Here is a 25,692-nt window from a genome sequence, read left to right as displayed (position 1 = left end):
TTTTTAGTAAAGACGGGGTTTCACCATGTTGGCCCGACTGGTCTCAAACTCCTGACCTCGAGTGATCCACCCACCTTGGCCTCCCAAAGTGCTGGGATGACAGGCATGAGCCACTGCGCCTGGCCACTCTTTCCTATTTCTGAATCTTCACAGGTTGTTGGTCCCTTCCTAGTCCTGTGTTTCTCAAGTTAAGACTAGGGGGAATCTACAGGTCCATGGCTATCTTCTCTGGGGAACTCTTCTAAAACTTTAAGTTTGTGCTTACCTCTTGATGGGCCATATTTTTAAAAAGAGAAATATTTTCATACATGATGATTTGGATTAGGTTTTTTTTAGGGGTTTCAATGCCTATATTTGTATTTGTGTTTATTTATTTATTTATTTTTTGAGACAGAGTCTTGCTGTGTCGCCCAGGCTGGAGTGCAATGGTGTGATCTTGGCTCACTGCAACCTCCGCCTCCTGGGTTCAAGCGATTCTTCTGTCTCAGCCTCCCAAGTAGCTGGGACTATAGGCGTGTGCCACCACGCCAGGCTAATTTTTGAATTTTTAATAGAGACGGAGTTTCACCATATTGACCTTGTGATCCGCTCGCCTCGGCCTCCGTGCAGTGGCGCGATCTCAGCTCACTGCAACCTCCGCCTCCCAGGTTCAAGCGATTCTCCTGCCTCAGTCTCCTGAGTAGCTGGGACTACAGGCATGCGCCACACCAGCTAATTTTTGTATTTTTAGTAGAGACGGGGTTTCACCATGTTGGCCAGGCTGGTCTCAAACTCCTGACCTAAAGTGATCCGCCTGCCTTGGCGCCGTGGCTCACGCCTGTAATCCCAACACTTTGGGAAGCCGAGGTGGGCAGATCACTTCTGGTCGGGAGTTTGAGACCAGCCTGGCTGACATGGTGAAACCCCATCTTCACTAAAAATACAAAAATTAGCCAGGCATGGTGGCAGGTGCCTGTCATCCCCGCTACTTGGGAGGCTGAGGCAGGATAATCGCTTGAACCTGGGAGGCAGAGGTTGTAATGAGCCGAGATCTCGCCAGTGCACTCCAGCCTGCGTGACAGAGTGATACTCCGTCTCAAAAAAAACAAAAAACAAAAAAACAAAAACAAACAAACAAAACCAGGGAGAGAATTGTTTTGACACAAGTCTTTGGCTAATGATGAAACCGTCTCCCTTCCTGGCTGTCCTGGCATGGTTTTTATAGTCTGAGGCACAATGGTGAGAGCAAACTTAAGAGGGAGCCAAAGTGAGGTACTCAAGAGAGGGATCCTTCTTTCCTGGAGAACTGTGGTAGCCCAGGCTGTGTAGGTAGCTGGACAAGCAAGACTGAATCACAATAGGTCTCTACATCTTCTATTAGGAGGAGAACCTGCAACATCCAGTGGAGCAGGTCACACCAGTTATACATGTAAAATGTAGGATAAACTAAAGGGGCACAGAGCCAGGGGAGAAGACAATGGGATGAGACTGTTCTAGAATCTCATCCCATTGGTTCATTGCTGGGTGTGGTGGCTCACACCTATAATCCCAGCACTTTGGGAGGCTGAGATGGGATGATGGCTTGAGGCCAGGAGTTTGAGACCAGCCTGGTAAACACAGCAGACCCCATCTCTCTAAAAAAAAAAAAAAAAAAAGAAAAACATACGGTTTATGAACCAGCAGCATCTGCATTAACCAGCTTATTGAAATGCAGAATCACAGGCCCCACAACAGACTTCCTAAATCATAATCTGCAACTTAACAAGTTCCCTAGGTGATATGTATGCACACTTATGTTTGAAAAGCACTAAGATTTCTTGATGAAGGAGGACTTGAAAGGCAATGATGGATGTGAAAGGAAAGGTAAAGAGAAGCCTCAGGTAGTCACCCAAGGGACAGGGCCGGTTGGAGAGAGAGTCCCGAGGTTTTATCCTGGAGAACACCCTGTACTGAATGAGCTCTGAACATAAAGATAGTTAGCATAGGAGGGCCTGAAGTCTCCAGATAAAAGGCTGCTGCCACTATCATTTACCACGACCTCTGCCATTCTCCACTCTATTGTCATCCGCCCCCAGTCTCCATTCCAGGACTTCTCTACACTTTGACTTTTTGTTTGTTTGTTTGTTTGTTTGAGACGGAGTCTTGCGCTGTCGCCCAGGCTGGAGCGCAGTGGCACGATCTTGGCTCACCGCAAGCTCCGCCTTCCGGGTTCATGCCATTCTCCTGCCTCAGCCTCCCGGGTAGCTGGGACTATAGGTGCCCGCCACCACGCCCAGCTAATTTTTTGTATTTTTAGTAGAGACGGGGTTTCACCATGTTGTCCAGGCTGGTCTCGAACCCCTGACCTCAAGTGATCCCCCCGCCGCCCCGCCCCCTCCCCCCGCCCCGCCCCCCCCCGCCGCCTCGGCCTCCCAAATTGCTGGGATTACAGGCGTGCGCGATGCCCGGCTTTTTATTTATTTATTTATTTATTTTTGAGGCGGGAATCTTGCTCTGTCGCCAGGCTGGATTGCAGTGGCACCATCTCGGCTCACTGCAACCTCCGACTCCCTGGTTCAAGCGATTCTCCCACCTCAGCCTCCCAAGTAGCTGGGATTACAGGCACACGCCACCATGCCCAGCTAACTTTTTGTATTTTTAGTAGAGACGAGATTTCACCATGTTGCCAGGATGGTCTCGATCACCTGACCTCGTGATCCGCCCACCTCAGCCTCCCAGAGTCTCAGTTGCCAAAGCTGGAGTGCAATGGCGCGATCTCGGCTCACTGCAACCTCCGCTTCCCAGGTAAGCCATTCTCCTGCCTCAGCCTCCTGGGTAGCTGGGATATAGGCGCCCGCCATCACGCCGAGCTATTTTTGCATTTTTAGTAGAGACGGGGTTTCACCATGTTGGCCAGGCTGGTCTTGAACTCCTGACCTCAACCTCCCAAAGTGCTGGGATTACAGGCGTGAGCCACCGCGCCCGGCCCACCTTTTTTTTTTTTTTTTTTTTTTTTTTTTGTTTGAGACGGAGTCTCTAGTCTCGCTCTGTCGCCCAGGCTGGAGTGCAATGGTGTGATCTCGGCTCACTGCAACGTCTGTCTCCCGGGTTCAAGCGATTCTCCTGTTTCAGCCTTCCGAGTAGTTGGGATTACAGGCGCGCGCCACCATGACCTACTAATTTTTGTATTTTTAGTAGAGACAGGGTCTCACCATGTTGGCCCACTTTGACTCTTGAGCAGCCTGGCCAGCCCGACCGCGCCAAATTCTGTTCGATTCTGCCTAGTTCGGTTGCTCTGGCCTAGTTCAGTTGCTAAGGCCTGGAGCTTCATGGTTGCGGAGGAAATGATGTCACGTTCAATAGGCGGGCTAACCAGATTCCTCCCTTCTCCCGATTGGCTGCCAGGAATTTGACTAGATTCGGAGTCTCGCGGGCTCCAGGGTTAGTTGTCAGTATCTTTCCCAGTTGTTCCGCCCCCTACCCCCGCCTCCCGCACCGCGCCCCTCTCCGGCTGCCCTCTCCGCGTGGGGCAAGGCTCCGAGGGCAGCATTCAGTAGCCATTTAGCTTTGGAAGGAGAGGTGATTCGAATGGCCCGGCTCCTCCTGTCACCATGCTAGGCACTTTGGCCGCGCAGGTACTTATTGACCCGACCGGGTGTCCGTAGTTGGCGCGGCTACCTTAACCGCAGGGAATTGTGGAATTTATAGTTCTAAATTATATGTGGGTGGAACGGGGAAGCTGGAGCAGATTTTTGGAGGAAAGCAAAACTGGGGACTTTCAGGACTAGGGGCCTGGGTCTCAGAAGAATGGGAAAGGACGAGAAAGGAGTCTAAATAAGAACCCTGCTATTAGCATTGTTTGGTTTTCTTTTCAGGTGCTGACCTGAACCTGGTTCATCCCTTTCTGACCAAAACTGTTCACTCACCGTGGAAGGGACTAAGCATCCATATGGAGACGCCACCAGTCAATACAATTGGAGAAAAGGACACCTCTCAGCCGCAACAAGAGTGGGAAAAGAACCTTCGGGAGAACCTTGATTCAGTTATTCAGATTAGGCAGCAGCCCCGAGACCCTCCTACCGAAACGCTTGAGCTGGAAGTAAGCCCAGATCCAGCCAGCCAAATTCTAGAGCATACTCAAGGAGCTGAAAAACTGGTTGCTGAACTTGAAGGAGACTCTCATAAGTCTCATGGATCAACCAGTCAGATGCCAGAGGCCCTTCAAGCTTCTGATCTCTGGTACTGCCCCGATGGGAGCTTTGTCAAGAAGATCGTAATCCGTGGCCATGGCTTGGACAAACCCAAACTAGGCTCCTGCTGCCGGGTACTGGCTTTGGGGTTTCCTTTCGGATCAGGGCCGCCAGAGGGCTGGACAGAGCTAACTATGGGCGTAGGGCCATGGAGGGAGGAAACTTGGGGGGAGCTCATAGAGAAATGCTTGGAGTCCATGTGTCAAGGTGAGGAAGCAGAGCTTCAGCTGCCTGGGCACTCTGGACCTCCTGTCAGGCTCACACTGGCATCCTTCACTCAAGGCCGAGACTCCTGGGAGCTGGAGACTAGCGAGAAGGAAGCCCTGGCCAGGGAAGAACGTGCAAGGGGCACAGAACTATTTCGAGCTGGGAACCCTGAAGGAGCTGCCCGATGCTATGGACGGGCTCTTCGGCTGCTCCTGACTTTACCCCCACCTGGCCCTCCAGAACGAACTGTCCTTCATGCCAATCTGGCTGCCTGTCAGTTGTTGCTAGGGCAGCCTCAGTTGGCAGCCCAGAGCTGTGACCGGGTGTTGGAGCGGGAGCCTGGCCATTTAAAGGCCTTATACCGAAGGGGGGTTGCCCAGGCTGCCCTTGGGAACCTGGAAAAAGCAACTGCTGACCTCAAGAAGGTGCTGGCGATAGATCCCAAAAACCGGGCAGCCCAGGAGGAACTGGGGAAGGTGGTCATTCAGGGGAAGAACCAGGATGCAGGGCTGGCTCAGGGTCTGCGCAAGATGTTTGGCTGATTAAAAGTTAAACCTTAAAAGAGACAGGAACTTGTGAATTGTGGTCTGTGCTGTGAGATTTGGGGGTGGGGGGCCAGAGGGAAGGTTTCAGCCCATATCCCATTCTCAGCTTTTGGCTTCCTAGGGGAGGTAGCAGTGGTCACAGTGCGCCCCTTTTGAGGGGCTTATCTATCTCCGAGGACACATAGAAGCTGTCTAAACTAAACTTAGTAGTGGCTGGGGGAGATGGTGGACCTTAATACTGGGTACTACATCTCCCAGGCGCTTTATCACTGGAGCCTGTTTGGCGCATGCGCTTGGCGGTATGGCACTGTCTGGAAGTTACTTCCTGCTGCTGTGCTCCCATTGGGCCCGCCTACACAGTCATCCGCATCTGTTGATTCACGTGCTCAGCACCCAGGTCTCTTACTGGTCGGTAGAGCTTCCGGGACGCCCCCTTTTTTGAAAGAGTCAACTGATTAGTTGGTGATGGGGAGAGGCGGGCCTTGGGAACCGTCTCCTGGTTGGGGGGTGGGGGGGAAAGATGGCGGAGCTGATGCTGCTCAGCGAGATTGCTGACCCGACGCGTTTCTTCACCGACAACCTGCTTAGCCCGGAGGACTGGGGTCTGCAGAGTGAGGCACCGGGGAGGGGAGAGGGCTGTGGCAAACTGTCCCTGAGGCACGCGGGAAAGAAGCGGGGGCCTAAAGAGGAAGTCTGGGCAAATACGGAATCCGCCATCTGAAGGAGAGCGGAGCAGGGGGCTCGTTGTGCATTAAGGGGGATACAAAAGTCAGGGAAGAACTCTGCTCCCTGCTGGAACGTCGAGTTGTTCCGGGGTCGGGGAAGGAGGGGCTGAAGCGCCCTGGTTGTATCACTTTTCAAGTGGGCGGGCGGTGGGTCTGGCCGAGCGGAGCCAATGAGGGATGGGGCGGGGGCTTGTGTGCGATCTGTAGGCTGGGGCCACCGAACGACCCCCCGACGCTCAGCATTTCTTGCAGACAGCACCTTGTATTCTGGCCTAGATGAAGTGGCCGAGGAGCAGACGCAGCTCTTCCGTTGCCCGGAGCAGGATGTCCCGGTATTGTGTCCCCAGCCTTTCTCTAACCCTTGGTGGGTGGAAAGTGAGCCCAGAACCTGGACCCATTCACAGGCCATAACTCATCTGGAGTCACCCCTACTTTCTCATCCTTTCTCACACTCCTGCCCTCTTGTATCCTCCCTTATTTAGTTTGACGGCAGCTCCCTGGACGTGGGGATGGATGTCAGCCCCTCTGAGCCCCCATGGGAACTCCTGCCGATCTTCCCAGGTAAGGTAGTCTTTGTCGTTCCCTCAGATTTCCAGAAACCCTCATCTTCCCACTGTTTCCCAGAAACTACGTAGCTTCCTATATCCTCACGCTTCTACATAAGTGCCTATCCTCTCTCCTTCAATCCCCTATTTTTGTTTCTTCTCCCTTGCTGCGGTACAGGAATCCCCACCGACATGTCCTTGGGTACTTTTTGGACTCTTCTTAAGCTCTGCTTCCTGATAATTTCTAACTCCCTTTCCTCCAGATCTTCAGGTGAAGTCTGAGCCATCTTCCCCCTGCTCTTCCTCCTCCCTCAGCTCCGAGTCATCGCGTCTCTCCACAGAGCCATCCAGCGAGGTGAGAGAGCCATATCCCTCTTACTCTCTGTGACGGGGACTCTGCTTCATTCCCTTCACCCGTGGGTGACAAAGAAATGATTTAAATGATTTGTGTGCTATGAGTCATGAGGTGTGTGAGGTGTGGGGGGCCTTCTCCACTACCTTTGCCGTTTCCTTAATATCTTCATTTTCCACATCCCCTTTGGTTATCTAGCAGTGAAGATTTTTTTGTTTGTTTGTTTTTTGTTTTTTGCTTTTTTTTGAGATAGGGCCTCCCTCTGTCACCCAAACTACAGTGTAGTGACAGGGTCACAGCTCACTGTAGCCTTGACCTCCTGAGCTCAGGTGATCCTCCTGCCTCAGCCTCCTGAGTAGTTGGGACCACAGACACATGCCACCATGTCTGGCTAATTTTTTTTATTGTTTGTAAAAATGGGGTCTTCCTATGTTGCCCAGAGTGGACTTAAACTCCTGGGCTCAAGTGATCCTCCCACCTTGGCATCCCAAAGTGCTTGGATTACAGGTATAAGCCACCACGCCTGATCTTGGGTCTTTTTAATATAAAGAGTTATGTGGGGCTGGGAAGAAGAGAGTTATTGACTGCTGAGAATTCTGGAACTGTTCTTGCCCAAGTTGTCCACTCTGAGGCCATATTTGAAGTCATGAGACTTCATCAATTCTCCCAGAAATAAAGTAGAAAGAATGAACAGGTTAGAAAGATGGTCAGTACCATTCAGACCAGAATGTCAAATAATTGATGGCTTGTAAGCCCTAAACTTCTAAAGCTTTTGTTCTCGCTCTTACTGTCAACATCTCCCTTGTTTTTTGCCCTTCTTTCTGCCCCCTGCCCCACACCAACTCTCACCCAGGCTCTTGGGGTAGGGGAGGTGCTCCATGTGAAGACAGAGTCCTTGGCACCCCCACTGTGTCTCCTGGGAGATGACCCAACATCCTCATTTGAAACCGTCCAGATCAACGTTATCCCCACCTCTGATGATTCCTCAGGTAATAAAACAGCCTGCCCCCAATCCTTGGCTCTACTACGGGAGAATGTGTTATGTGTGTGTGTGTATGTGTGTAGATGGAGGGGAAGTGCAGGCAGCAGGACAGGGAGAAAAAGGTGGGGAGGGGAAATGGCAGAAAACCAGGAGGGAAGGCAGGAAGGAGAGGAAACATTTCAGGGAACCACAGCAAGGGCAGTGCTGAGGAGATGGATATTATTTTTCTCTCTTTTTCTTGTTCCTAGTATTCTGTCATGCCATTCAACTTACTTTTTAAAAACTTGTGAGCAGTTTAGGGCATATGTATCTGTGTGATTCCCCTCCACCCAACATTTTATTATAAACATTTTTGTTGTTGTTGAGACAGAGTCTCACACTGTCGCTCGGGCTGAAGTGCAGTGGTGTGGTCTCAGCTCACTGCAACCTCCACCTCCCAGGTTCAAGTGATTCTCCTGTCTCAGCCTCCCAAGTAGCTGGGATTACAGGCACCCACCACCACGCCCAGCTAATTTTTTGTATTTTTAGTAGAGATGGGGTTTCACCATGTTGGCCAGGCTGGTCTTGAACTCCTGACCTCATGAGTCGCCTACCTCCGCCTCCCAAAGTGCTGAGATTACAGGCGTGAGCCATCGCGCCCAGCCCATAAACATTTTTAAACATACAGAAAGGCTAGAACACCATATACTAAACTAGATTCTACAATTAACATTATTTGTTCTATTTTTAAAGTGTTCCCAAGTTTATTTACTCGTAGCTGTGTATTTAGTAAATGTTTATTGATGTGATCATATCTGAGGTATAATAATTATAAAAAAGAAATATTTATTAAGCACCTACTCCATGCCAGATACTGAGCAGCATGCTGGGAATGCAAAGATGAACAAGACCTGACCACCATGCTGACTTTCAAACCCTGTGATTTGGTAATGGGAGAAAGACAAGTACCAGTCAATACAGGTGTGGTCATTCTAGGATAGAAATCACTAGAGGTGGGGCTGGGTGTGGTGGCTCATGCTTGTAATCCCAGCACTTTGGGAGGCCGAGGTGGGCGGATCACGAGGTCAGGAGATTGAGACCATCCTGGCTAAGATGGTGAAACCCCGTGTCTACTAAAAATACAAAAAATTAGCCTGTAGTCCCAGCTACTTGGGAGGCTGAGGCAGGAGAATGGCATGAACCCGGGAGGCGGAGCTTGCAGTGAGCCGAGATCACGCCACTGCACTCCATCCTGGGCAAAAGAGCAAGACTCCGTCTGGAAAAAAAAAAAAAATCACTAGAGGGTACCATGAAAGCTCATAAGAGGGGACATTTCATCCACATTGGCGCTGAATCTGGGATGTGCCCCTGGAAGAAGGGTTTCCTGAGAGTTTTAAAGGACACGTAGAAATTAGCCAGGAGGACAGTGTGGGGGTTGACTTGTGTCTGAGGACCCTGCATTTCTTCAGAGTGGATGTAAGAAGGATTTGGGGAGTGATGTGGAACTGCAGGGGCTACAGGGCCAGGTGGGGCCCCTGCTAAGGGGCTCTTAGCTTTTATCCTGTGGATAGGTGGGGGCCTTTGGAGAATTAAGCAGGGAAGTAATATGATTAGGAAGATGATTCTAGTGGCAAAGTAGAGAATGGGTTGCAGAGGGGCAGGGCCAGAGGCAAGAGAACCAAGGAAGAAGCTTATGCAGTTGATCAAGTAAGATATTCGGATGTCATGAAGAAAGCAGACTTGAGAAAGAATGAAGTGGAATAGATGAGTTGTGACCTCCTGGACATTGGAGAGAGGTAGGAGTCAAAGAGGTTTGTGGCTAGGATGGCTGTGGGTGGGTGATGTTACTGTTCACTGGATGGAGACTGCAAAAGCAGGGGCTTTCTGGTCAGGGAAGATGATGAATTCAGCGTTGGACATGTTGATTCTGTTGTTGTTGTTGTTATGGAGCTTCACTCTTGTTGCCCAGGCTGGAGTGCAATAGTGGTGTGATCTTGGCTCACTGTAATCTCTGCCTCCTGGGTTCAAGCGATTCTCCTGCCTCAGCCTCCTGAGTAGCTGGGATTACAGGCATGCTCCACCACGCCTGGCTAATTTTGTATTTTTAGTAGAGACAGGGCTTCTTTCATGTTAGGCTGGTCTTGAATTCCCGACCTCAGGTGATCCACCCACTTTGGCTCCCAAAGTGCTGGGATTACAGGCGTAAGCCACCATGCCCAGTTGACATGTTGATTGTTGATTTCAAAGTACCTTCTGGATCTCCTGGCACCATCTCTCACTGGCTGAACTCCAACCAGGGAGCCCGCTGATGCAGTCCATTCAGATTCTCCCTGGATCTCAGGGAGCACAGCAGGGAGGGATGGAAAGTGGATTTGGAGGGACAAACAGATTATATCTAGCAGATTAATACATGTTATAAAAAAGATACACAAAATAAGGATTGAAATACCATTAGCAGGCCAGGCACAGTGGTTCACACCTGTAATCCCAGCACTTTGGGAGGCCAAGGCGGGCAGATCACGAGGTCAGGAGATCAAGACCATTCGGGCTAACACAGTGAAGCGCCATCTCTACTAAAAATACAAAAAATTAGCCAGGCATGGTGGCAGGCACCTGTAGTCTCAGCTACTCGGGAGGCTGAGGCAGGAGAATGGGGTGAACCCGGGAGGCGGAGCTTGCAGTGAGCCGAGATCGCCCACTGCTATTAGCAGCAAAAGGATTGTAAGGATTGTTGGTGGCTTTGCATTGCATAGTGTTATTAGAGTCAGATTCTCCTCCATACTTAGGTATTTTTTGAGGGCCTGTACTTTACCCTCAATGGACATGAGACATAGTTCTTGCTTTTGGAGAGTTTTGTGAGGGTTATAATACATCATGGTTAAATAGTTCCCTTTTTTTTTTTTTTTTTTTTTTTTTTGAGACAGAGTTTTGCCCTGTCACCCAGGCTAGAGTGCATTGGCGTGATCTCCACTCACTGCAACCTCCGTTTCCTGGGTTTAAGCTATTGTCCTGCCTCAGCCCCCCTAATAGCTAGGACTACAGGCACGTGCCACCATGTCCGGCTATTTTTTTGTATTTTTGGTAGAGACAGGGTTTTGCCATGTTGTTCAGGCTGGTGTCAAACTCCTGGCTTCAAGCAATCCACCTGCGTTGGGTGTCGGCCTCCCAAAGTGCTGGGATTACAGGCGTGAGCCACCATGCCCAGCCATGGTTAAATAGTTCTGATAGTGGTTATCTCTGTGTAGGGAATCTGAGTGACTGGAGGACCGGGAAGGGAAGTTTTTTTTTTTTTTTTTTTTGAGACAGAGTCTCGCTCTACCCAGGCTGGAGTGCAGTGGCGCAATCTCGGCTCACTGCAAGCTCCGCCCCCTGGGTTCATGCCATTCTCCTCCCTCAGTCTCCCAAGTTGCTGGGACTACAGGCGTCCGCCACCACGCCTGGCTAATTTTTCTATTTTTTTAGTAGAGACGGGGTTTCACCGTGTTAGCCAGGATGGTCTCGATCTCCTGACCTCGTGATCCACCTGCCTCGGCCTCCCAAAGTGCTGGGATTACAGGCGTGAGCCACCGTGCCCCGCCAAGATTTTTTTTTTGACTTAATTTTCCTTTGTTCGTTTGGATTTGTATCATGACTGTATTATCTATTCAAAAATATAAATTGAAGTTTTAAAAAGCAATCTTAGTGATCATATAATTAAGTACCAAAGTGAACGGTATGGACCAGAGGTAGTGGTGGACTGTTGACCTGTGGGCTGAATCTGGCCCTCAGAAGGGTTTTATTTCACCGACATGGGGCCTAGCATTTTCTTTCATGGAGTGATCAACAAGTCATAAAGGCAGATTTATTGGAGGCCATGGAGGCTCAGAGGTGACTGAGGCTTTGCTGTTTGGTGCCTGGGAGGAAAACTTGTGTGACGGGGCAATCAGGAAGCCTCATTTATGGCCAGTTAGATTTGGGTGACTGGTGAGGCATGAGAATGGAAGGGACCAGCAGGCAGCTTGGAAGTCAGAATCTGGTGCAGGTGAGCAGCCAGGGGGAGATGCACACTTGGCGGTTGTCAGCATGGAGATGCATTGGGCAGGGATAAGGTGGAAATCCAGCAAGATAGGAATTTGGGCCATGTGAATGCTGGAGACCCCCCTGCCACTTCCCCTGCTCAGGCCTATTCTATGTGAATAGACAAGTTCTGTGAACAAGAAAGAGGGAAACGCAGAAGGGCAAAGACAGCTTTGAGGAACATGGAGCAGGGATGAGAAAAATCAGAGGAGCCACTAAAGGAGAAAGGGAAGCACTAGGCGAAAAGCGGGGCGGAGAGCCAGCAGGTGAGCAGCTCTGTGACTGCCCCTCCTGGATGGCCTGTAATCTAGGGCCAGAAGAGTTTTATTTTCAGGTTCAAAGAGAAAGGACCCATTTCCCCATCTTAACCCTCTTTTTTATTTTTTTGAGATGGAGTTTTGCTCTTCTTGCCCAGGCTGGAGTGCAATGGCGCGATCTTGGCTCACTGCAACCTTTGCCTCCCAGGTTCAAGCGATTCTCCTGCCTCAGCCTCCTGAGTATCTGGGACACAGGGATGCGCCACCATGCCCGACTAATTTTGTATTTTTAGTAGAGACGGGGTTTCTCCATGTTGGTCAGGCTGGTCTTGAACTCCTGACCTCAGGTGATCTGCCCGCCTTGGCCTCCCAAAGTGCTGAGATTACAGGCGTGAGCCACCATGCCCAGCCTCCCATCTTAACCCTCTTAACCCTTCAGTGTTTACATGATATCCAGCTTTTGCCTCATCCTGCCTCCCACAGATGTCCAGACCAAGATAGAACCTGTCTCTCCATGTTCTTCCGTCAACTCTGAGGCCTCCCTGCTCTCAGCCGACTCCTCCAGCCAGGTGAGCACCACCTTCCTTCCTTCCTCCAGGTTTTCCAGTGAGTTCCTCCTGACCTAGAGGTATGAGAGCTTTCCCTTCTTCAGCTCCTTCTCCTCGACACTCTTCCTGACTAATGTATCTCTGGAATGCCCCACATAGGCTTTTATAGGAGAGGAGGTCCTGGAAGTGAAGACAGAGTCCCTGTCCCCTTCAGGATGCCTCCTGTGGGATGTCCCAGCCCCCTCACTTGGAGCTGTCCAGATCAGCATGGGCCCATCCCTTGATGGCTCCTCAGGTAATGGAGTCTCCTGACACTTGGAATCCCTAGTGAGAGGCCTTTGGTCCTGACATTTCTTGTTCTTTTCTCTCACCTTCCTTCAGGCAAAGCCCTGCCCACCCGGAAGCCGCCACTGCAGCCCAAACCTGTAGTGCTAACCACTGTCCCAATGCCATCCAGAGCTGTGCCTCCCAGCACCACAGTCCTTCTGCAGTCCCTCGTCCAGCCACCCCCAGGTACTGAAGAAGGAGAAAAGGGCCGGGCATGGTGGCTCACGCCGGTAATCCCAGCACTTTGGGAGGCTGAGGCGGGCGAATCACCTGAGGTCAGAAGTTTAAGACCAGCCTGGCCAACGTGGTGAAACCTTGTCTCTACTAAAAATACAAAAATTAGCGTGGAGTGGTGGCAGGCGCCTGTAATCCCAGCTCCTCGGGAGGCTGAGGCAGGAGAATCACTTGAACCCAGGAGGCGGAGGTTGCAGTGAGCCGAGATCATGCCACTGCACTCCAGCCTGGGCGACAAAGCGAGACTTTGTCTCAAAAAAAAAAAAAAGAAAAAAGAAAAACCAAAAAATAAAAATAAAAATTAATTAATTAATTAAAAAAAAAAGGCCAGGCACAGTGGCTCACGCCTGTAATCCCAGCACTTTGGCAGGCCAAGGCAGGCGGATCACAAGGTCAGGAGATCGAGACCATCCTGACTAACACAGTGAAACCCCGTCTCTACTAAAAATACAAAAAAATTAGCCAGGCGTGGTGGCGTGCGTCTGTAGTTCCAGCTGCTGGGGAGGCTGAGGCAGGAGAATGGCGTGAACCCGGGAGGCGGAGCTTGCAGTGAGCCGAGATCGCACCACTGCACTCCAGCCTGGTCGACAGAGCAAGACTGCATCTCAAAAAAGAAAAAAAGGAGAAAAGGAGGCGGGCTGCATTGACCCTGTCAGAGAGCTTGCAGCCATTGAGGCTGCCCAATCCTTGGGTGCTCTTGTGTGGGTGTGGACACAAGGACCCCACCCAGCGCACAGCCCTCTGACCTCTGCTCACTTGCCCCAGTGTCCCCAGTTGTCCTCATCCAGGGTGCTATTCGAGTCCAGCCTGAAGGGCCGGCTCCCTCTCTACCACGGCCTGAGAGGAAGAGCATCGTTCCCGCTCCTATGCCTGGAAACTCCTGCCCGCCTGAAGTGGATGTAAGTGTTGGGGAGGAGAGAAGTAGGGCGAGTGATGGGAAGGGAAGAGGGAAGTCTTGCCATAGAGAGAACTGTGGGATGAGGAGGGAGTCGATACCTAGGAGAAAAAAGTGAGGAAACGGACCCATTAGATCATTCTGAGGGTCAGAATGGACTCCTGTTTCTATATGAATATCAACTCCAGGTAGTTTTAGGGTCCTTTAGGTTTGCTGTCACTGCAGATGGAGAAATGGGGTTGGTCTCCATAAATTAAAGGCAAGGAAGTCGTACTGTACTATACGACTACGGTCATGGCCATAGTTGGGGAGGGAGGCTGCCTCCTAGGGGAAAATCAGGTAAACTGTATAAGCAGTATAACAAGGTTAAACTTTGAACCCTACAAATGTGGGCTGACAGGAAGAAAGAGTTACGAAGGAAAGAGTTTCCACCAGCATGGAGAAAGTTCTTCCCACACTCTAACCTTTCCCACCTCTGAGGAGCAGTAGCAGGGAATGTTTGAAAGAAGGGCCCCTTCCCTAGCGTGTTTGAGTAGAGAGGAAAAACCTCTCTGGCTATGTAGGTGGGTCAGGAAGGCAGGGGAATGGCCATGTGAGCTTTGGGTAAATCATTCCTTGGGGTTTGAGAGCATAGTCTCCTTCTGCCAACTCATCTGTCATTCTTTTTTGACCTTCCGGGTGCCTAGGCAAAGCTGCTGAAGCGGCAGCAGCGAATGATCAAGAACCGGGAGTCAGCCTGCCAGTCCCGGAGAAAGAAGAAAGAGTATCTGCAGGGACTGGAGGCTCGGCTGCAAGCAGTACTGGCTGACAACCAGCAGCTCCGCCGAGAGAATGCTGCCCTCCGGCGGCGGCTGGAGGCCCTGCTGGCTGAAGTAAGACCAGTCTGTCCCTGGGAGACCAACAGGAATACAGCCTCCTTGGAATGATTCCCCTTTTTCTTGTCTCCTTCTTTGTACCTTAGAACAGCGAGCTCAAGTTAGGGTCTGGAAACAGGAAGGTGGTCTGCATCATGGTCTTCCTTCTCTTCATTGCCTTCAACTTTGGACCTGTCAGGTGAGACCTTCCTTGCTTCACTAGAACCTTCCAGGTGGAGCCCACGTTACAGCCTCCTAGCTGCCTGCTTTGGCCCAGGCCATTTCCTTCTGCTTATATACAAATGGTTCTGGTGTCCTTGGCACCGATGATGTGTCTGGCCAGCCCCTTCCTGCTCCATTATTTGTCTTTTTTTCTTGGAGATGGAGCCTTGTTCTGTTGCCCAGGCTGGAGTGCAGTGGCACGATCTCGGCTCACTGCAACCTCTGCTTCCTGGGTTCAAGTGATTCTCCTGCCTCAACCTCCCAAGTAGCTGGGACTACAGGCGCACGCCACCATGCCCGGCTAATTTTTTGTATTTTTTAGTAGAGACAGGGTTTCACTGTTGTTGCCCAGGCTGGTCTCGAACTCCTGAGCTCAGGCAGTCTGCCCACCTCAGCCTCCCAAAGTGCTAGGATTACAGGCTTGAGCCACCTCGCCCGGCCTCCTGCTCCATTATTTTTCCAGTGGAGAGTAGATGATGGTGATAATGCTGGTAGAAATAGTGACTATTAAGTGCTTACTGAGTTCTAGGCTCTAGGTGATGCACTGTCTTTTTTGTATGTAGGGACCATCCTTATTCCCATCTTACAGAGGCAGACTCAGGCTTGTATAACAGATTGCAACTCAAGCAGTCCATCTGCAGAGTCTTTATTCTTACCTAGATACTTGATACAGCTGAAATTCTTCATTGTGCTCAGTCCTTCTTTATCCACAGCATCAGTGAGCCTCCTTCAGCTCCCATCTCTCCTCGGATGAACAAGGGGGAGCCTCAACCCCGGAGACACTTGCTGGGGTTCTCAGAGCAAGAGCCAGTTCAGGGAGTTGAACCTCTCCAGGGGTCCTCCCAGGGCCCTAAGGAGCCCCAGCCCAGCCCCACAGACCAGCCCAGTTTCAGGTGAGGAGAGAGAGAGAGGGCCCCCTCTCGTTTGAGGGTATGAGTTGGTCTTCTCCCCGCTTTCAGTGAGGGGGACCCAAAGCTTTCTCTTGCCGTCATCGCCTTCTTTGTTGTGGGAGTGCTGGGCAGTCTCCAAGTGTTGTCTCCTTCCTGCTTCACTCCAGCAACCTGACAGCCTTCCCTGGGGGCGCCAAGGAGCTACTACTAAGAGACCTAGACCAGCTCTTCCTCTCCTCTGATTGCCGGCACTTCAACCGCACTGAGTCCCTGAGGTGTGGGATTCATTGCTGGGGCATCCAGCTCCCCCGGCCTCCCAAGGCCTTCTGCAGTCAGCCTGGCTGGCCTGTGTACTAAAGCGCCAGTGCTCCCTGCCCTCTCCTCACTCCTGTGGGTGGGCAAGGAGGGTGGGAATCTTGGCCTGGCATGGAGGTCCTGAGCTCCTCCATTTCCCCAGGCTTGCTGACGAGTTGAGTGGCTGGGTCCAGCGCCACCAGAGAGGCCGGAGGAAGATCCCTCAGAGGGCCCAGGAGAGACAGGTAGGGCGGGTGGCTGGTTCAAGGAAGGCCACTTGAAGACAAGGGCTAAAGGCCTTGTCTGGGGATTTCTAGTGGGCATCTCGCTGTGGAAGTTTGAGGGATCGTTTGAAGGAAGTGGAGGGTTGAGTGGGAGGTGGCATCAGCTTCCAGGGGCTGTTTGTCTCTTTCCCTTTTCCCTTCACCCTCTCCAAGTCCTTAGATACTTCTCCTTCCAGAAGTCTCAGCCACGGAAGAAGTCACCTCCAGTTAAGGCAGTCCCCATCCAACCCCCTGGACCCCCAGAAAGGTGAGTGTGGGGTGGGGTGCTTACTTATTAAGTGAAATTCCACTTTCAAGAGCTGTACCCCCAGTAGCTGTCCTGTGCCTGTCATTACTGTCACCAGTGGGATTATACCTCCCTCCTCCACTGGGGGTCTCCTGTCTTTTTCTCTCATCCTACCCGCTTCCCTGGTAGAAACTGAGCATTGGGCTTAGTTCCCCTCAAATCCTGTTTCCCCACCTGCCTAGGGATTCTGTGGGCCAGCTGCAACTATATCGCCACCCAGACCGTTCGCAGCCAGCATTCTTGGATGCAATTGACCGACGGGAAGACACATTTTATGTTGTCTCTTTCCGAAGGGTGAGTTTCTCCTGCCCTTCCATCTCTGTCACCCCAGGTTCCCAGCAGTCTGTCTTCAGTGGGGGGATGTAGAGTAGGGCTGGGGAGCTTGTTGGCATCTTTGCCTCCACCCTTCTGGCCTGGCCCATCTGTTCCCCAGGACCACCTGCTGCTCCCAGCCATCAGCCACAACAAGACCTCCCGGCCCAAGATGTCCCTGGTGATGCCTGCCATGGCCCCCAATGGTAACTCTTTCCCTGCTGGGTATGGGGGCAGTTCCAACAGGGAGATCCAGCCTGGGAGCTGAGGGGGAAGGGGGAGAGGAGCAGGGCATCCAGAGAGCTGCTGGACCCACAGGTGAGAAGCAGCAGGAAGTAGGTGGAGGGAAGAGCACCATGCAGGAGACTTGGGAGGGAGACAAGGGTGAGGGTCCTTCCCTGGTGAAGGTGCTTGGGTAGATGACTGGGCAGAGGCGGGGGGCCGGGAACCTGCTAGACTCTCACTTACTTTTTTCTCTTGATGTCCTCTCCTGTGTGACCCCACACTCAATGCCCTTTTCTTTTCCTACCCTCTCCTTGCCCCTGCACCAAACTCTGTCCCTGCCATCCTGTTTAACTCCCGCTATGGATCTGCCTCCTCACTATTGCCCTTTCTTTTTCTCTCTGCTCACCTCTACTTTTCTGACCTCCTCCCCTCCTCCCTGCAATCCCTGTTTGCCTCCCCATCTCCTCTTCCTTAACTCTCCCCTTCTCACAGAGACCCTGTCAGGCCGTGGGGCCCCGGGGGACTATGAGGAGATGATGCAGATCGAGTGTGAGGTCATGGACACCAGGGTGATTCACATCAAGACCTCCACAGTGCCCCCCTCGCTCCGAAAACAGCCATCCCCAACCCCAGGCAATGCCACAGGTGGCCCCTTGCCAGTCTCTGCAGCCAGCCAGGCCCACCAGGCCTCCCACCAGCCCCTCTACCTCAATCATCCCTGACCTCTGCCATTCACACTGACTTAGAACGGGGGGAGGGGGTACCAGGTGGCCAGGTGGGACTGTTTCAAATTTCCCTGATCCCCAGGCTTGGGGCAATTGGTAAAGGAAAGAGCAGGTGTGGGGGTTAAGCACTTATTTGAGGTGGGGGTGTTCACCTCTCTTCTCATCCCTTTTCAGAATATAGGGCTCCTCTCATTCCTGTGAACCCCCAGTCCTGGCTTCTTTGTTTGAGGGGATTGTGTGAGGTTCAGTTGTGGGGTGGGTGGTGAGCTGCTGCATATTTTTTATTTTGTTTCTCTAGTGTTATGGCAGTGGAGGTGGGAATTTAGTCCCCAGGTGGGACAAGGGAAGTTTTTTCATTTTGGAGCTAGTTACTGGGAGTAAGGGAGGGTGGGGTGGGGGGGAGTTCAGGTTTATGTGTGTGCATTTCTTTTTTATTATTATTAAATAAACAACTTGGAGGGAGTTGAAGGAATGGTGGCTGCCTTCCTGGCTCGTGATGGGGAGTTTGGGGGAAAGTGGCTTTTCCAGAGCCAGCATCAAAGAATCAAGCACTGAAGACATAGCTGGCTCTGAGGTGGGGTGGGTGCGGGATCACAGACCGCATGTCATCCCCTTGCCCCCACCCCTGCAACTCTGGGGTATATCTGTGTCTAGCAACGATGTCTCATGGCGTGACAGACTAGAGGATACGCATCCCTGGAATGTGAGTCAACAGGAAAGATGGGGCCCCACGCCCTTCAGGGTGAGCAGCCTCTGGGTCTCCTGCTCTCGAGCAGGTTCTCCCCCTCTTCTTGCTGTCCAGGATGAGCAGCTCAAACAAACAACAAGAGCTGGGGCCAGAGGCTCAGAGCCCAGGAAGTGGGGGTCTCGGTGAAGAAGGGGTGATATTTGGAAGGGAAGGGGGATGTGGCAGGATATCCTCTAAGCCCTAAACTGGAGGGGACTGAGACTTGAGAGTCCAGATGAAAGACAAAGACAAGAGTGGGGCAGGCAGAAAAAGCTGTACATTCTTATGTTTTTAATTTTTTTTTTTTTTTTGAGACGGAGTCTTGCTCTCTCACCCAGGCTGGAGTGCAGTGGCGCGATCTTGGCTCACTGCAACCTCCGCCTCTTGGGTTCAAGTGATTCTTCTGCCTCAGCCTCTCAAGTAGCTGGGACTACAGGTGCACGCCACCACACCCGGCTAATTTTTGTATTTTTAATAGAGATAGGGTTTCACCATATTGGCCAGGCTGCCCACTTCGGCCTCCCAAAGTGCTGGGATTACAGGTGTGAGCCACCATGCCTGGCTAGGCTGTGCATTCTAATTAGGAGGAAGGGGAGCAGGACAAAGTGAGGGATTGAGTCTGAGGCCAACCTGGAAGAATCCCCCTCCAGCTGCTCCTGTTCAGCAGTGCCTCAGGCCTGACCCTGCAGGAGTGTCCTGGGTCAGCTGGAGGGTGTGAGCTGGGCCTGGGCTCAATGCCCAGATGACTGGACAGGGGCTGCCTGGGCCATAAGCCCAGGCCTGAAGGAGGGAGGAAGAACCTCATGTGTCCAGCCAGGCAACCCCCACACCCCTCCCACTGCCCTCACCCATTACTGTGTTTGGGGTGAAAACAGACCAAGTAACTATGGCAACCTGGAACCAGGGATCCCAGGAACTAGACCTTTCCTCCCTCCAGAGGGCAGCCCAGCTTCTCAGCTATGCTTTCTATCCCAGAGTCCTTGAGCCTTATCCACCGTATCTCTGGAGGGGGTGCAGTGAGAACAAGGATTTTGGAAGCACATCACCTAAGCTGGATTCCCTACCCTGCCTTTCGTTAGTAGATGTCCTTAAACATTCTGAGCCTTAGTTTGCTTATCTGTAAGATGGGATGTTCCTACCTCCTAATCAGGGTTGATGACAGGATGAAAGACGACGTCCTCAGTGCCTGGTCCATAATAGATACACCTTTTCCTCATCCCTTGCCCCTTTCTGTCCCCATCTCTGTTGTCCTTCTCTCTTCCACTTTTATCCCATTTGGGTTCATTACTGTTTCGTTGTCCCATTGTCTTCCTCCTTCCTGCCCCCAGTTCGGGAAAGTACTTGAAGTGCTGGCATCTCAGGGGTCACCCTGGGGTGGGACATCCTGCTCCTCTGCTGATTGGCAAGGGACAGCTGGCACTTTGGTGTGGATGAGACATCAGACCTCTCTTGGCTGAGGGATTGTGGTGGCAGGAAGGATTGAGAAGGACGGTGAGTGGGTACCTGATGCAGGGTGAAAGCCGGGCAGGCTCTGGGCTGCTGCCTTCTAGGCCCATGTGGATCTCCATTCCTCTGGCCACACCCCCAAGGCCACTCAGCATGCCAGGTCGCTGTCACTCCTGCACCTCATTGGCCCCTCCTGCCCTATGCCCACTTTGTCTTTCTGTTCTGCTTTCCTTGTGCCACCATCTCCTTCATTTCTTCCTCAGGATCCCACCTTTTGTTCTCTCTCATCCCTGACCTCATCATCCCTCCCTTCCTCTTTCTAGACTTCTTTCCTGCCTTTCTTTGCTCTCTACCTCATTAGCAGTTATCACAACCTCTTTTTGAACCATTATTCATCACTGTTTTTTTCTTCTTTTGTATCTTCCCCACCCCATCCACTGCTTCACTGTCTTAAATTTTTTTTTTAATTTAAAAATAGAAGTGGGGTCTCGCTATGTTACCCAGGCTGGTCTTGAACTCCTGGCCTCAAGCAGTCCTCCCATGTTGGCCTCCCAAAGTGCTAGGATTACAGGCATGAGCCACCGTGCTGGCCTTATTTAAAAATATATATATATTTTTAAATTCACTGTCTTTTTCCTTTGTTTTTCTTGGTCTTCTCATCTGCTGCTGCTGCTGACCCTGTGCTTGTCTCCTCCCTTTCTCATGCCGCCCCCTTTCTATTTCCCATTCTGCTCCCTCGTCCACATTTCTTGCCCCTTTCCATTATGTCCTCTCTTTTCCCCCACTTTGGTCCTCTCCTCCTCCTTCCTTCCCCCACTCCCTTTACTTCCCACACCAGTTCTCCATCCTCTTCCCAGCTGTGGGGGCCAGCACTGGGGAGCCTGATGTTTGCCTCATCGTTCTGCTATGGCTTCTGGATACAGCACATCTGGATTCCGGGGCCCAGATGTGTGGTTGCCACAGCGACCTGGGTCCCTCTGGTAAATACAGGCGCCCACCCGCCTCAGAGCAGAGAACAAAACAATTGTGTGACTTTCTTTTGTCACGAGATAGAAATGTCCTTCCTCCTCCCTTCTCCCCACACCCATGTCTCTAGGCAAAGGAAGTTTTAAGGGTCCAAACCCTTCCTTCTGAGGCTCCCTTGCCCCCTTTTCAGCTGTAGCCTCTTAGTTCTCTCCCATCTTTCATCCTGCTCTCTGTCTTTACATTCTGTGTTCCCCATCCTCACCCGACCCCCAGTTCTCAATAATGGAATGTTGACCACCCCCTTCCCCATCTGATGCCATTTCTTCTAAGTGAATCTACACAATAACTGGATGCAGAAAAGTTTCAAAAATCTGGATTCTCCACCCTTCTTTGTACAAGTGCTTCAAAGAAGCCACTTCATTTGTTCCCTAAGTCTTCAATCCTTTCCTTTCCTGGAGTTGTTTGGGGAGAAGAGCGAATACAGGCTTAGGAATGAGAACACCTGGGTGAGACCCACCTTCACCACTACTGACTTAGCCCCTTGAACAAGACCCTTAATGTCTATGAGCCTCCGTTTCCTCAGCCACAAAGTGGGATTAATGCCCGCACTGTGTAGGAAACTGTTTTGTAAACGGAAGCCCGGCACAAGTGTTTTCTATCTTTCCCCTCTCTGGGACTGCTTTCTTGGACCGCAGCCCCTGGCATCTCTTGTTCCCCTGTCTTCATCCTTCAGGTCCTTGCCCTCAATTGCCCTTACTCTTATGTGTCTGCCTTCTCTCCTCCCTATCTTTCCTTTCCTTTTCTCTATCTTTCATCCCTTTTCCTCCTGAGGTCAGGACAGGAACTTGGAGGATCATTCAAGGAGGGAGGCTCAGAGCTGAAGACACAGGGACTGAGGTTACAGAGAACAGCCGGAGCTTGTGGACAGTTCTGGACAACACTGACCTTTCTACCCACCACCACCCAGACACCTCAGTGAAGCCAACCCCAGCTCTGACCACTGGGCTTCCCTGCCTTCACGCCTGGGCTCCTTACCCTTTCCCCCTCCTCTCTCCCAGTCCTTTCACATTTCAGTGTTGACTTGCATTTATTGGTCACCTACACTGTGCAAGGCTTGGTGCTTTTCTTACAAGATGTGAACATACAAGACATGAGCTTCTCCATGAGCCTGGAAACCAAAGGGTGAATCAAATGGTAAACAAAGATAATTTCAGAACCTGAAACTATATCTGCTAAGCTTCCAGTGGCTTCCCCAAATGCCTTATAAGCTTGTGTACATCTGGAATCCCACATTTCTCTCTGAGACCCCAACAGTGGGCTTCCAGAACATCCCAGGACCATCCTTCTTGCTGTCTTCTCTGAGGTCCCTGGCCACTCTCTGTGCCAAATGTACTTATGTTGACCATTCTTCCTAAATAATAAAGCCAGGACATAGGGCATAGGCACACGCGCGTGCACACACACACTAAAGGATATGACCATGGAACAGAAATCTGAAGGTGTCAGAGGAAATTCATACCCTGTGTTCTGCCCTCTGTGTGATACTGTCTCCAGACCCTCCCTCTTCCTATCACTGCAGGGCTCCCCACCTCCTGCCAGGAGATCCTTGGGAAGCTGCTACCTACTGCTGGCTCTGGGGGCTTCAGGCCAAGGCAGAGGAAGGAAGCTGAGCCTGGCTCTGTCCAAGATGCTGACTTCATCCTCCCCATCAAAGCCAGGAAAAAAACAGCCACACACACCCAGACACACGGACACACACGGGGACACCCACGCAAAAGCCCATGTGTGCCTTTGCCCTCGGCCACATGGAGCTTACTGGGCATCTGGCCACAGCCACATGCAGTGCAGGCACGCCCTGACCCAGGAACACCACACACCTGCCACCATGGGGATCTGACCTGGTGTGCAGACACCTGGGCCGTCACCCATGTGGCAGAATCAAGCACATATGGGCTCCCTCACGTACCTTTCACCCGTGACTTGGCCAAGTTACACCTCAGTGGTGAGGTCTGTAGCAGGATAGAGAGACCCAGTCCTCACTGTGAAGCTGGGGGTAGTGGGTTCCCACTCAGCTGGGATATTTCTCCTCTGTAGCAAAGTCTCTTTTTCAGCTCCTTGTCAGGGCAGCACATGGGGAGATGAAGCTAGGGAAACACCCAACAGACTTATGTGGGGTGTGTCTGTCTCCCTGTCCCCCCTGTCCTCTGGCTGTCAGTCTTCTGCCTGGGACCAGAGACAGCGTGTCCGTTTCCTCCAGCCCCTACCTCTCCCCGCCTCTGTTCCTGCTCCCCCGCAGCACCCAGGCACCAGCCCCCCACCCTGCTTTCCACCACTTCACCCTCTATTCAGGTGACCCACCCTTATATTTGCCTCCTGTCTCTAGCCCTTTCTTCAACCCTAAACCTTCCTCCTAACCTTCAGGCTTTCCTTCCTTGTCCGCCCCAACCCCAGCTTCCTCCCCAAGGCTTGTATGTCCCAGTGTTCACCCAAGCCCTTGCCCTGCCAGTGCCCAAGCCTCACCTGCTCTTTCTCTAGGGACTTGCTGAGGTAGGAGAATGCAAAGGGGGCAGTGACAGGAGAGGGACTGAACAGAACAGACAGCAGGAGTGGCTCGGGGACGGGATAAGCCGAGAAGATAGAAATGGTGGGACTGGAGCAGGGTGGGGACTTGGGGTCCCAGAGACGGTCCCAGTTGGAGAAAGAGGTTGCCTCTTGCCTCCTGCCCTCTGCCCCTGCTCCCTGCCCCAGACTGCCAGGGGAGAACTGGTGAGAGGATGAGGGAGCCAGCACTGGGTGATAGACATGGGGTGCGATCCAGAGATCCAAGCTAGAGCAGTGGCTGGGAAGAGATGGGAGAGGAGCATGGGGGAGGGAGGGGAAGGGGGCTGGCCATGAGGAAGGATATAGGCTGAGAGGAAACCACTGGGGTCAGAGAGGAGGGGCAGCAGGTGGAGAAATGGTGGGGAAAAAAGAAATGGCAGGAAGGGTGGGGGGTGTCAAGTTGGGCAAAAATTAGGGTGAGCTAAAAATGGCATAGGGAAAGGACGTGGGAGGTAAGACCGGGGCTGGGGGTTGAGATGAGGGTATGGTGAGACAGTGATGCTAGACAGGGAGTGGGGGCTGGGGTGGGGGCAGGAGAAGAGGAGGGGTGGCATGTGGGAGGGCCTGGGAGGGGTGGGAGGACCTGCCCTATCTCCGCTCCCCTCCCTGACCTCATCCTGGTCCTCCCCTTCTCCTCCCCTGCTCGCTGCAGACTCCCTCCTCACTGTCGCTGCCGAGATCCACAGTCGGTTGTGGCTCAGCCCCTGTTGCAGGGGACAAGTGAGGGAGACTTCCCTGTCCTGCCCTGAGACGCCGCCCTCCCGGGGTTGGGGACAGAGCAGGTGCAGAGGCACTGCAGCTGCTCGGTTGCCCAGGTAAGGAACAGAGTTCTGGGGAGACCCAGAAGGAGAGGCAAGGGATTTCTCGCCTATCCCCATGCCCCAGGTGAAGGTGTGGCAGGTGAGCTCTCAGCAGTGCTTCCAGAGCAAGGACTTCTGTTCAGGACAGAGGACATAGGAGCATTCGCTGGGAACCAGGCTCCCTGTGAAGGAGTGTCTGGGAGGAGAGGGTGGTATGTGTGTGTTGGGGTGGGCAGTATGTGTCAGGGTTTGGATGGGATGCAGACAACTGAGAGGGGCTGGGAACAAACCGAGGGACTCCGGGAGTCAGATGGTGGAACCAGGGTAGAGGTGGTTATTGGTGAGGTGAGCCCCTGGGCCCTGGAGGTGCTGGGGCTAGCGGGAAGATAGGACTAGGCTGAACTGGTGGCCAGCTGAACCTTGGAAGGAAAGTGCTTGCGGAATCCCAAATGTCGGGCTAGAGCAGCTGAGCCCAGGCTCTGGGGGCTCCAGGCTCCAGGAGGTGCCAGAGGGTGCTTCTTTGGGCATCCAAATGGGGACTCCCTAGGTGGCAGCGTGAGAGTTGCAGGGAGGGAGGTCTGGGAGATCTCTTTAGGAAATACTGAAATGGGACAGTCAGGACTCGGGTCTGGGACGTGCACAGAGCCTGCAGAGAGGATCCTAAAACTTGTTCTTGGCCAGAGCTCTGCACTCATGACTCACGGTTCAGCAGGGCTGGGATGGCTGAGAGATGCCTCTGGGGGCACAGGGGCTCCGTCTTCACTCTGTGCCCCTTCCAGGCTCCCCTTGCCTCTGTCTGTCTGAACCCGCACTCTCCCTCACCTCGCCGCCCCCGCCCCCCACCACCAGTACACGTGACACGCCCCGGGTGGGAAGGGCGGGCCCCTTATCTCGCCTGGAAAGAATTTAATGGCATAGAAACAACTGGAAGTGGAACTGAGAGGAACTACTGGGAAGCAACTCGGAAACACCACAGCTGCTGCCTGCCCTGCCCCTGCTTCCCGCATCTCCAGCCCCTCCTCTTTTCCCTGACCCTGCCTTCAAGTCCCTGGGGACCCAGCACCTCAATTCCTCAAACTTCCTTTGCTCACTCCAGACCTAGCCACTAGGTGCAGGACCAGAAACTGCCTTCCTGTCTCTCATTGCACCCCTAACCATTTTCAGCTGGGGCCTGGAAATCCTTTCTCTTAATTTTTCCAT

General features: G+C 52.4%; 3 protein-coding genes across 6 annotated transcripts in view, besides 3 other annotated features; all 3 read left to right on the top strand.

Moving 5' to 3' along the window:
• Positions 1,736-2,183: a transcriptional cis regulatory region, noted in NCBI's record as "candidate enhancer chr6.1802 targeted for multiplex CRISPR interference". NCBI's record gives its function as "positively regulates FKBPL gene expression with high confidence in K562 cells {active_cell/tissue: K562}" and the evidence as "EXISTENCE:mutant phenotype evidence [ECO:0000015][PMID:30612741]".
• Positions 1,812-2,020: a silencer, noted in NCBI's record as "fragment chr6:32099445-32099653 (GRCh37/hg19 assembly coordinates)". NCBI's record gives its function as "represses an EF-1alpha promoter that drives an FKBP-Casp9 reporter gene in an ReSE screen in HepG2 liver carcinoma cells {active_cell/tissue: HepG2}" and the evidence as "EXISTENCE:reporter gene assay evidence [ECO:0000049][PMID:32094911]".
• Positions 3,400-4,981, top strand: FKBPL (FKBP prolyl isomerase like). Its single transcript, NM_022110.4, has 2 exons — positions 3,400-3,593; positions 3,834-4,981. Exon 2 carries the CDS (start codon positions 3,908-3,910, stop codon positions 4,955-4,957), a length of 1,050 nt encoding a protein of 349 aa, NP_071393.2. The 5' UTR covers positions 3,400-3,593; positions 3,834-3,907; the 3' UTR covers positions 4,958-4,981.
• Positions 5,442-18,424, top strand: ATF6B (activating transcription factor 6 beta). Of its 2 annotated transcripts, none has more exons than NM_001136153.2 (18): positions 5,442-5,562; positions 5,938-6,017; positions 6,168-6,246; positions 6,494-6,585; positions 7,436-7,571; positions 12,340-12,425; positions 12,564-12,699; positions 12,786-12,917; positions 13,731-13,864; positions 14,547-14,732; positions 14,822-14,913; positions 15,650-15,829; positions 15,994-16,101; positions 16,284-16,365; positions 16,581-16,651; positions 16,873-16,984; positions 17,124-17,208; positions 17,720-18,424. In NM_001136153.2, exons 1-18 carry the CDS (start codon positions 5,481-5,483, stop codon positions 17,947-17,949), a joined length of 2,103 nt encoding a protein of 700 aa, NP_001129625.1. In that variant the 5' UTR covers positions 5,442-5,480; the 3' UTR covers positions 17,950-18,424. The 2 variants fall into 2 exon arrangements, with proteins under 2 accessions (NP_001129625.1, NP_004372.3); NM_004381.5 differs by having other exon boundaries at positions 5,442-5,571.
• Positions 14,502-14,796: a silencer, noted in NCBI's record as "tiled region #2290; K562 Repressive DNase unmatched - State 5:Enh". NCBI's record gives its function as "represses a minimal TATA promoter and a strong SV40 promoter by Sharpr-MPRA in K562 cells {active_cell/tissue: K562}" and the evidence as "EXISTENCE:reporter gene assay evidence [ECO:0000049][PMID:27701403]".
• The window catches only part of TNXB (tenascin XB), a 68,186-nt gene continuing 66,843 nt past the window's right edge, over positions 24,350-25,692 (top strand). For all 3 annotated transcript variants that reach the window (NM_019105.8, NM_001365276.2, NM_001428335.1), the window contains exon 1: positions 24,350-24,507. The gene's annotated coding sequence lies outside the window, so the exon portion shown is untranslated. The remainder of the gene's footprint in view (positions 24,508-25,692) is intronic.

Source organism: Homo sapiens, chromosome 6 (genome assembly GCF_000001405.40).
Source record: "Homo sapiens chromosome 6, GRCh38.p14 Primary Assembly".
Lineage (NCBI taxonomy): Eukaryota > Metazoa > Chordata > Mammalia > Primates > Hominidae > Homo > Homo sapiens.
This window is presented reverse-complemented; position numbering and strand designations above follow the sequence as displayed.

What these genes read in the sequence shown, in the direction of transcription:
- FKBPL (NM_022110.4), top strand. Translation starts at nt 3,908, where the DNA reads ATGGAGACGCCACCAGTCAATACAATTGGAGAAAAGGACACCTCTCAG.
- ATF6B (NM_004381.5), top strand. Translation starts at nt 5,481, where the DNA reads ATGGCGGAGCTGATGCTGCTCAGCGAGATTGCTGACCCGACGCGTTTC. An exon ending in ATCCCTTGATGGCTCCTCAG is followed by an intron (nt 12,700 to 12,785) that starts GTAATGGAGTCT and finishes ACCTTCCTTCAG; the next exon opens with GCAAAGCCCTGCCCACCCGG. An exon ending in AACCGCACTGAGTCCCTGAG is followed by an intron (nt 16,102 to 16,283) that starts GTGTGGGATTCA and finishes CCATTTCCCCAG; the next exon opens with GCTTGCTGACGAGTTGAGTG.